At 38.4% G+C, this 11,767-nt stretch overlaps 1 annotated feature.

Annotated features, from left to right (window-relative positions):
- Nucleotides 359–2,469: an enhancer, noted in NCBI's record as "VISTA enhancer hs123". NCBI's record gives its function as "enhancer in: forebrain[4/4]" and the evidence as "EXISTENCE:transgenic organism evidence [ECO:0001131][PMID:17130149]".

The following is an 11,767-nucleotide window of genomic DNA, read 5'->3' as shown; positions in this document are numbered from 1 at the left end:
AGCCAAAGGACATGAGCCAGCCCACATCTTCTAAGGTACTTTAAAAAGAGAATTTGTCCGGTCTCTGCCTCTCCCAGAAGTATCTTGAAACCAAAGAAGTCATGAGAAAATATAAAAGCTCGATACATTCACCTGTTCCAGTAGACTTTGTTATGAATGACTCTCAAACATCTATCTCAAATATTAGGTCTTAAAAATCCAAATTTCAAACTACCTTTAAAAAGTCACAAAGAGTTATTGAAATTGTGACATTTTACTTTAAATTATTTTCTACTAATCAACTTAGCCTCTTTTTAGAGGTACTAGAATTGTAGTCACCAGCCTCAACAGTCAAGGTTCACTTCTACAATAGCACTTACTTACCATTTGTGGACTTTGCTTACTATGTTATTAAGAATTTGTCTCTATCAATTATTTTCTTCCCCATTCATTTTTTTCTCCATTTTTCTCACATACGAAGATGTGGGGAGCCACATCTACTCCTATGTCTTCACTCTCATTATTAACATAAGCAAAATATGTGTCTGTAACAACTTGGTGTTTAAAAGTATGGAGAGACTGGATTTTAGGCTTACAGAAACATTTGAAGGTATCTATACAGGAAAGTTAGAGGTTTAACTTGGAGGTGTGATGGTATAATGTTCCCAAATAAAATACGGGTTTGATCCATGGACCAAATTGGTAAACAATAAAATAAGTGAACATGAAATAAATATGTTAACGGTCTCGGTTTGCTAATGTTTGAAGACTTCACTGCCTCTTAAAGGCATATGTGTTTGAAGCAACATTTAGTTTGGCAAATTTCACTCTCCATTTTTTGGGCGTTGTATGGTGGGGGTTGGTTCCTAAACCTTTTTTGGCATGCTTGAAAGAGAAGGATTTAAGTCGAGTTCATTATCTCTTTAGTGCAGAAGTCTGGGAAACGAAGAGGCTAGACCAGGGAGACTCAATCCATCTAGCATTCCTTTTTGTTTTTCAAGCTGCCCTGACAATAATGCGGCAGGGTGAAAAGATCAGGAACACTTTATACACATTGTGCTAATTACTGCAAGTACTTAAAGTTGTAATTAGCTTATTATACTGCAGAGATCCTAACATGGCATGTCTTTCAAAAGAATTTCTCTCCAGATCATTATTGGGAAAGCTAACAACATCTGCTTCAAATAAAATCAACCAATTAGCACAGGCAACTCCACATAGTTTGCAATCAGAGAATTATATTGTGCCAAGTGCTAATTTCAATGTGAATGCTATCTCCTTCTCATATCCCACGCTTCTCTGCCAGCACAGCTGGTGTTTAACACCACTGACTTCAGCGAAGTCTCCAAAAACTTATGTTAATTTGAAATAACCTAATCAGAAGTGTGCAATACAGACTGAGGTTGATCTCAGCTTAATTAAAACTGACCTTGTCATTTCACTGCCTGTAAAACACCATTATCTCACCATTTATCACTCAACTACCACAAATATTCCATTTGCGTGAAAATCCAGGAAGACCAGTTCCAAACCACCAGAGCTATTTTCAGAAGTACTGTGAGTGAAGGAGTTTAACGGAAGGAGAGGTCTGCCTATAAGTATGGGGCAACAATAAAGGTAATTCAGTAGACTCAAAATAACTTGTCAGTCCTACCCATGAAGGCTGCTTCTGCCCACTTCCGTTGGCTTCAATGGCACATTCACTCCAGAGACTGGCAGGCATTAGCAGATGTGAAGGCTTTCATTTTAAAATTAATATCTAACCCAGTACCTTTCAGCGAGCTGAATTGCTCAATCAATAAGCATGACATGGCAGGTGTGATGTGTACAAGGCACTAAATTCTTCTGCCAAAGGTACTAGAAAACATCTGCTCACATGCGTGTGTGTGCATGTCAATGGATGAACTGCTGAGAAAAACGATTGCAAGTGGAATATTTAATATGCTTGTATTCACCAAGATGGAATTAAAAACAAGGTAAGATCATATTTGTATGATGTATACATGCCATCAAATACACCTTGCTTAACCTGCATTAAGTCCATAACTCTGTGTTTTTATATGTACATAGTCAACTGTCAATCAAGTAGCAACATCCTGGTTTTCTGCACATTCACACAATTCTTAAAATGTCTTCAGATTCCCATTGTAGGCTTTGTTTGGTTATTTGCATGCCATCTTAGTCCAGAAAGTATTCAAGGCAATGCTAAAAGCATTGAAAAACTTATCTATGAGATAATTCCAATGATTTACATTAGGAAGATTTCTTATTTGTCCCCAGATCACATGCTTAGCCACAACTCAACATATTTCCTGATGCTTTTCCTCCAGTCAAGCAAGCCTCCCTTTTGCTCTTATTCCACTCCCCTAGTCAAACTCAGTCCTAGATTACTATAGCCCACATTCACTTCACCCCTATAATACTTCTTTGCTAGGCCAATCCTTTTGATACAATAAGATATTGACTATCTTGAATTGTTTAATGTTTCCAGTTTTATGTTGACCATGCCACAGGAGGGATAGTTTCATTCCATTTATAAGGAAACCCTCTGGTCTTGTGGAACAAACAAGAGACATGGTGTCAAAGTAGTTGAATTCTTATATTTGCTCTGCTGACTCTATGACCTTAGATAAATGTGACCTTGAACCATATGCCAAACTGTCCAAGCCCAGGTATCCCACTCAGTAAACAAGATACACATCCCAGAAAGTTATTTTAAAGAATAAAAGAGAATTATAATAGATGTGACTGAATCTAAGAGTTCAACATATGTCTACTGAATGAGGTACATGGGATATAACCAAACATTTAATGAAATATGAGTTGTAAAAATGTAATACTGCCAGGAATGAAATTTACAAAGTAAGGAAATAGGAAGTGGCCATTTTATAATGTTTATGGAACTAGCCTACGTGCAAACAAGAGGGGTTATTTACATTCAAGACCCTATTCTCAAAAGTAGAAAAGTGATATTCAGGTGCAAGAGAACAAAGCCTATTTTTATTTGAGCAATGTAGCTAAGTGAAGGTGTCTCCATCCCAGTCAAGAGATTAGGGCCTTGTGAGGAGAAGCTGGTGTAATTGGTAGAAATGAATGCTTTATAATGCTAAATGCTAACTTTCCTGAAGGAAGACCAGGATGAAGAGCTCCTGATTCCTTCCAAAGGAAAGTTGAAATTGCTTATGGCATGACAGTTGTTTAGACAATGTTATACCACTCACATAATCTCTCTTAGGATATTATAATTTGATGGTTAGATAATTCAATTCCAGATTTATTAATGTATATGATTTCATTCACTCATTCATCAAAAATTTCCTGTTTCCTATCTGTGTAATCTTGGGCAGATTATTTCACTTCCTAAAGTTTTGGTCTGTTCCTCTGAAAAATGGTAATAACAAGATCTAGTATTTTGGTTCGTGGATATAAGAAGATAATCCACATCAATTGTTTAGTGTTTTGCCTAGCAGTTAGTAAATGCCCTGTAACTAACAGCTACTCTTGATATTCTTGCTACTTTTACTCCTGCTGCTACAAAAAGGAGTAATTTACACTTCCTAGGAGAATCCTGAACATTGCTCCCTTTTCAGACATCAGATGTCACTTCCTCTGTGAATCCTACATCTAGGCTGAATTAATCATCCTCTCTTTAGTTTCACAGAACTTTGTCTATATTATTATTGTAGCATTTACCATTGTGTATAGTAATAATTTGTTTATATCATTGTTTTCCTGTCAAATTTTTGAGCTACTAAGAAGCAAGAATTTTTGTCTCGTTAATCCTTTTGTCTCTAATGTTGATCAAGTGTTGCACATAGTAGGAATCTAATACATATTTGTTGACTAGGCAAATGAATAAATTTATTGATGTGTATATAAATACATAAACATTTAAGCATTATTCTGAAATACCACAGTCCTCTGAAGTTTAGAATACCAATCTTAGAAACTCAGGAACTTTAAACGTAATACAAGGTGCTGATTTTAAACTTTACACATATCTGAAGCTTTTTTCCTGGGCTATTATGCTTCCCATAGAGTCCTGTGTGGACCTAATGAATTCAGTCAGAAGGATTCTGTTGAAGTTTTCCATGTTTACTGTCACCAGGGTAATTATAAGTCAGGAATTTTGCTACTTGATAACTTCCCCAAAAAGCCCAAATTTGGTGAGTGTAACTACTGTAGAGCAGGACAGCAGGTGGACAAAATGGAGAGAGAATATGTAGACAGGATAGTTCCATCTCTATTCTCACTGACAATCAATCCTGTATTATTTTTACTATTATTATTATCACTATAATTATTATACAGGTTACCTTGGAAATCCATGTGATACAGACTCCTAATCAGAAATTAAGAATGTGCGACTAACCCCTTAAAGGTGGTAGAAAGGTTTCCAATGAAAATCTTTATCATTTCTCAGAGAATCATTCAGACAGAAAGTATGAAGAACCATTTATCCCGAATTGATATAAACTAAAAGAGCTTAAGATTCCAAAAAATTTTAATTGGTGTTCTTATGACCCTGAGGTCTTTGAATCAACAGATAAATTGTGTTCTGTATTTTAATGCTAAAAATATTTTGTCTAATGCTGTTAACATTGTTAAAGTGTGTATAATTTAACTGTATAGTTACCATTCTGGCTTTCCCAGGACTATCTCAATTTTACATTTTCAATAATTATATAAGTAGGCATGTGTTTGTCAAACCATATATCCCAATTTAGGATGCAAAAATTTTAGTATTTATATTTAATTGTGAGTCTTCAGTTAATTAAAATGTGCAATGAACTGGAAGCTCCATTCTGTGTCATTGGGATTGTACTTCTAAACTTAAGTATCTGATTTATGCTTTAAAATAAATATTTGTGTATCACCTGTGTATCACTTAATATGTGGATTTGTCAAACAAACTGAGGGAATTCCCAAGAATGGATTTGGTCCAACTTTGCTTCAGCACAAATTGGCAATGGCAGAAATTCCCCTATTGTTCTTTGCTCAGTTTTATTAGCTCGTTTTTCTTCTACTTCTCTCACTGCATGGTAAACCTTCTTCTGCCTATGTTATAACAACTTCCATTCCAAAAAGCTCAGACAATGGATGATATTTACTTACTGTTTGCAAACAACAGAATCCACAGTGTTGCCAGCAGATGCCCTTGATTCACTGTGAATGAGGAAGGGAATTATAGGAAATCAGTGTGCATTGTATGTCCAGCTGAGATGGATACTGGCAGAGCAGGCTCCAGGCAAAATTTCGGAGCACAAAACTGTATCTTCTGGGCCTTTCCCACTCTAGGCCATCTCTTTGAGGCTAACCATCTCCTTCACACATCTGTTCAAGACATGTAAGCTTCTCAACTCTTTCAAATCGTGTTTCATTTTCTCAAGACCTGCTAGTTCATCTGATAAAATTAATTAAGACAGATGGCTAAGGCCATACTTCCCAGCTGGTACATTTCAATAGAGAACTTCTGGAGATTCAATATCCTAACCTAAAGCAATAGGTTTCTAAAACAAAAGAAAATGCCTTGTACCACTCAGGTCAGTGAAGAACTATTTATGAAGAACTGTGAAGAGTCTGAAATCTTACCTTACTTACAAGCTGACAAACTAGCCTGCCATAGTTTCATAGATGCTGGCAGAGAACAGGAGACTCCTGGATCAGAGACAAATGACTGTTACTCTCAGGACAGCCAGCAGCACGAGTACCATGTTTGTGTCAATTCTCCCTTACCCCACATGTCCCATATGGTGACCAAGTGGGGCCCCAATGGATACTGCATTTTCAGTGGGTGTGCATCACAGCTAAGAAACCAAAAGCTTAGGGAACCTGAATCTTCTATAGCAGGCAGTTAGCATGCCTGCCCTTTGCCCTGTTGGGTAAAGTTATTATACTGGACAGTAAGCATACATGCCTTCCTCTCAAGAGGCTTTCAATCTCTATCTTCCAAGACCGTTTGGCATATACATAAGTTAGAAAATAATCCAGAACAAAGGCCAATCAGTGCCTCTGCTCACAAGATGTGCAAAAATGCAAGAGACTCACGGGGGAATTTTCTCCCAATGTTATTCAGGAAAAGATTTTCACCAGAGACTCCAAATGTCTTGTAGACTGCTGGTTCTCACCTGGAGAACTAATAAACATGCGTATTCCTGAGCCCCACCTCAGAGATTTGATTCAGTAGGTATGGAGTGAAGCCTGACAATATGCGTTTCTTAAAGATCCCAAGTGAAGTTGATTCTGGTATTCTTGCATCTCCCTTTCTGCACTGTCATAGATGACAACTTATTCAACTGATGTGTAGGAATTGGAATTATAATTGTAGGAAAAGATGGTGATGAAGCCCACATGAAAAGAAACAAAAAGAAAAATGGAAGGAAGTAAAGAGGAGAGAAGTTGGTTTGCTCTTATTCAGGGTGAACAATATAAGGATTTGGATTTCAGGCTGTGTACATGGCAAGGAATTTCTACCTTTGACTTTCCACTGGGAGCTGATGAGATTATTTTCCTTCTTAAGCCTAAGACTCAGAACTAGGGAGTTGTGATCCTACACACTAGCCCAATTTAAAGGGTGAAATAAATACTTAACAAAATGTCTCTGTACTCATTTATTTCCTTCTCCTATTAAACTCCAGTGTACCCTGCCCTTGGGACACAGAAAGCTTCCTGAATGGGTAGTAATAGATTTCTCCTCCCAAGTAACATTTATCTATTGACATAGTGTGTTCAAGACATGCATGTTCATACTGCCATTTGTCATATTGACAATACCAAGAGTTTTAGGTGAGAAATTTTTCTCTGTGATTTTTATGTTACCCTGAGAAATTAGGCCAAATTATAGCTTTAGTTTTTAAAATACAGTTCTCATTAACCTCAGAGAGATTGCACATGCATCTCTAGAGATATCAATATGTATCTAATTATTTATTTTTTAAGCATGACATGGTGTATGTTATAAATTTGTTGCCCTCTGTATTAGTCTGTTTTCATGCTGCTATGAAGAAATACCCAAGACTGGTAATTTATAAAGGAGAAAGGTTTAATTGGCTCACAGTTCCACAGGGCTAGGTGGGTCTCAGGAAACTTACAATTGTTTTGGAAGGGGAAGCTACCACGTCCTTCTTCACATGATGGCAGCAAGGAGAAGTGCAGAGCAAAGGTGGGGAAAGTCCCTTATAAAACCATCAGATCTCATGAGAACTCACTCACTATCATGAGAACAGCATGGAGGTAACTGCCCCCATGATTCAATTACCTCCTACCAGGTCCCTCCCACAACACATGGGGATTATGAGAACTACAGTTCAAGATGCGATTTGAGCGGGGACACAGCCAAACCATATCATTCCACCCCTAGCGCCTCCCAAATTTCATGTCCTCACATTTCAAAACACAATCATGCTTTCCCAACAGTCCCCAAAGTCTTAACTCATTCCACCATTAACTCAAAAGTCCAAGTCCAAAGTCTCATGTGAGACAAAGCAAGTCCCTTCTGCCTATGAGGCTGTAAAATCAAAAGCAAGTTAGTTACTTCCTAGATATGATGGAGGTACAGGCATTGGGTAAATACACCCTTTCCAAATGGGAGAAATTGGCCTAAACAAAGGGCTACAGGCCCCATGCAAGTCTGAAATCCAACAGGGCAGTCATTAAACCTTAAGGTTCCAAAATGGTCTCCTTTGACTCCATGTCTCACATCCAGGTTATGCTGATGCAAGAGGTGGGCTCCCACAATCTTGGGCAGCTCTGCCCCTGTGGCTTTGCAAGGTGCAGCCCCCCTCCCAGTTGCCTTCACAGGCTGGCATTGAATGCCTGTGGCTTTTCCAGGCGCATGATGCAAGCTGTCAGTGGATCTACCATTCTGGGGTCTGGAGGATGGTGGCCCTCTTCTCACAGCTCCACTAGGCAGTGGGGACTCTGTGTGGGGCTCTAATCCCACATTTCCCTCCTGCATTGCCCTAGCAGAGGATCTCCATGAAGCTTTGCCCCTGCAGCAAACTTCTGCCTGGACATCCAGGAGTTTCCATACATCCTCTGAAATCTAGGCAGAGGTTCCCAAACCACAATTCTTGACTTCTGTGTACCCACAGACTCAACACCATGAGGAAGCTGCCAAGGCTTGGGGCTTGCACCCTCTGAAGTCATGGCCCAAGCTATATCTTAGCCCCTTTAAGCCACAGCTGGAATGGCTGGGACGCAGACCACCAAGTCCCTAGGAGGCACACAGCAGGGGGTATGGGGGCCAGGGCCTGGCCCACGAAACCATTTTTTTCTCCTAGGCCTCTGGGCTTATGATGGTAGGGGCTGCCTTGAAGGTCCCTGACATACCCTGGAGACATTTTCCCCACTGTCTTGGTGATTAACATTCAGCTCCTCATTACTTATGCAAATTCCTACAGCTGGCTTGAATTCCTCCCCAGAAAATTGGTTTTTCTTTTCTATCACATTGTCAGGCTGCAAATTTTCCAAACTTTTATGCTCTGCTTCCTCTTGAACACTTTGCCACTTAGAAATTTCTTCTGCCAGATACCCTAAATTATCTCTCTCAAGGTCAAAATTCTATAGGTCTCTAGGGCAGGGCCAAAATGTCACCAATCTCTTTGCTAAAACATAGCAAGAGTGACCTCTACTTCAGTTCCCAACAAGTTCCTCATCTCCATTTGAGACAACCTCAGCCTGGACTTCATTGTCCTTATCACTATCAGCATTTTGGTCAAAGGCATTCAACAAGTCTCCGGGAAGTTCCAAACTTCCCCACATTTTCCCATCTTCTTCTGAGCCCTCCAAACTGTTCCAACCTCTGCCTGTTACCCAGTTCCAAAGTCGCTTCCACATTTTCAGGTATCTTTATGGCAGCACCCCATTCTGGGTACCAATTTACTGTATTAGTCCGTTCTCATGCTGCTATGAAGAAACACCTGAGACTGGGTAATTTATAAAGAAAAGAAGTTTAATTGACTCACAGTTCCACAGGGCTGGGGAGGCCTCAGGAAACTTATGATGGAAGGCACCTCTTCACAGGGTGGCAGGAGAGAGAATGAGTGCAAGCAGAGGAAATGCCAGATGTTTATAAAACCAACAGATCTCGTGAGACTCACTCATTATCACGAGAACAGCATGGGGGAAAACACACCTCGTGACTCAATTACCTCCACCTGGTCCCACCCTTGACACGTGGGGATTATGGGGATTACAATTCCAGGTAAGATTTAGGTGGGGACACAGCCAAACCACATCACCCTCTGAGTTCAAAATTAAAGTTGCCAAATGAAAATAAGAATGCAGTGCCTACAGTTGGAGGAAAAATGATCTCTTTCAGTCTTTGTCCCTTTCAACTTCTCTATTCTATTTGATGTTATTATTCAAGCTCTCTTTGAGACATCCTACTCTTTTAACTTTTAAGACATTGGGCTTTTTACATAACGATTTTATAATTTTTACAAAAACGACCTGTGCTTATCATTTTTCTAAAAAAAACAAGCAAAACAGAAAAGTATTAGAAAGCAAAGAATTACCCCAATTCCCACAAACATGGGGAGTATCTGTTAATGGGTACAGGATTTTGTTTGGGGGGAACAAAAGGTTCCAAAATTGATTGTGGTGTTGTTTGCACAATTCTTTGAATATACTAGAAACTGTTGAGTTTTACTTTTGAAACCGGTATATCTCAATAAAGCTACTTTAAAATAAAAAAGGAGTTACATTCCCAGATATCCTCCTCTACTCAGTACATTCAGTCCACTGACCCCTTTCCACCTCTTCAAAAGATCAGAGACATGTTCTTTGGTGAGAGTGTACCTGAAGGCCTCTGAACAGGCAACCGAAGGCCAACCAAAGGCAAGCGTTGTAGTGAAAATGTGGGGGTGGATTAAGGGAAAATTCATGCTCTGAATGTTAAGACACTAAGCCTTCTTTCCCCTTTAGATTCCAGAACCCTGGCTGCTAGGCAGGATCTGCACAGGAGAGTCTAATCAAACCAAGATAAAAAGACATCAAGTACCAGCCTGACCTGCAACCACTCTGCATAAAGTTTGTAAGCAAACGCTATGGCACGGTAGCAATATGCACAGACTATGGATCCGAACCCTCTCAGGTACAATGCTAGCTCTGCTATTTATTAGACATGAAGCCTTTGGCAAGTTATTAACCTTTCCTACTTAATCTACAAAATGGAAATAATAAGAGAACCTGTTTTATGGAGTTATTGTGAGAATTAAATGTAAACCTCTTAGAACAGAGCTTGGCATAGAGTAAGCTTCATATAGTTGTTAACTGTTATTATTATGTATGCCCATCCTTGAATGTAATTAGACAAGAAAAACTAAGTGGTTAAGTCTTAATATTAAAGATAGAAATCAAAACAAACAGGAAAAACGTTGCTGGGAGAAACAGAAAGTGTGAAGGGTGAAAAAGAAAAAATCCTCAAAATTGTCATTAATATCCTCAGAGGGATAAGAGAAGACAGTGCAACCTTGAACAAGAACAGAATGAACAATGATAATAGGTCAACAAATAATGAAATAATTCCTGGCTAGATCTCAGAAAATAATAGAAAAAGGAAACCAATGTGTTCGTGGTCTGACAAGGCACAGAAATAGCAAAATTTGACTATTGTTCACATTTCAATCAATGAACAAGCACATATTGAGCACCTACTTTATGCTTAATTCTGGGCTATGAATATTGTAAGTGGAAGAAAAAAGGTAAAGTAGAAGAGGAAAACTCAATAAAGATTCTACATTATCAGGTAGAACATAATAATATAGAACAACTTAGTATGTGGTTTCCCATGTAGTCAGAGCTTAATAAATATTTAATGAATTAATAAATAAACAAAAGACCAGAACTTCTGGAGAAGCTACAGCCATGTGCCATTGAGAAGTGAAATACTAGCATTGGAAATCTTTTCTGGAAAGCAATTTGGCAATATGTCTCAGAAATGCTCAAAAAACTTTCTACCCTCTAACCCAGTAGTTACATATCTAGTAATTTACTCTCCACATATAATCTCAGAATGTAGGCTAATATTTATCTACAAAGATCTTCAGTGCAGTGTCATTCCATTATCAGAAATTTAGAGAAATCTAAGTATTCAAAAATAAGAGCATCATTAAATATATTCAACCTATCTATATGCCATTAAATTCTGGGTCTCTATTAAAGAGTGATTTTAAAGCCCAATTCATGATAATATGGAAATGTACCCAAAGTGGGGTGAAAACATTAGGACACAAAACTATACCAGGTTTTAAAATGCCAACAACTTTGAAACAAATTTTGTTTAAACTTAACCATTCTCAGCCGCAATGCAGATGCTATACTGTTTTTGAAGCTGACTCTCTCTGACTCTCTCTCTCTCTCTCTTCCCCTCTCTCTCTGCCTTCTCTAACCATGCATTCTCTGTCCGTCCCTTGTTCTTCTAGATCTAATAGCATCTTGCCTTATTATTCGATTTAATAAATATTAGTCGTATCCATTCTCTTGTTTTTAAGTTTCTGGAGAGTAAGAATTACATCTTAAATTCATGCCTCCTTTAAGCATACAGTAAAATGCCTGTGCATTCATCATTTATTCACCAACTCAATAGACAATTATTCTATGTCTATTGAATATGTAGAACTACTAAGGAGAAGTTAAAAGAGCATAGAAATGGAAATCAAGAGATTTGGATCAAAAAGTAGGCTCTGCATGACTAGACAAATGCGTGAACCACAGTAGGCCTCAGTTTCCCCATAGTAAAATGAGGATGTTGTAGGTCAGTAATCTCAATGAATCTTAAGATGAG

Source organism: Homo sapiens, chromosome X (genome assembly GCF_000001405.40).
Source record: "Homo sapiens chromosome X, GRCh38.p14 Primary Assembly".
NCBI classification, from domain to species: Eukaryota; Metazoa; Chordata; class Mammalia; order Primates; family Hominidae; genus Homo; species Homo sapiens.
Note: the sequence above shows the minus strand (reverse complement) of the source record. Positions and strands in the feature narration are given on the sequence as shown.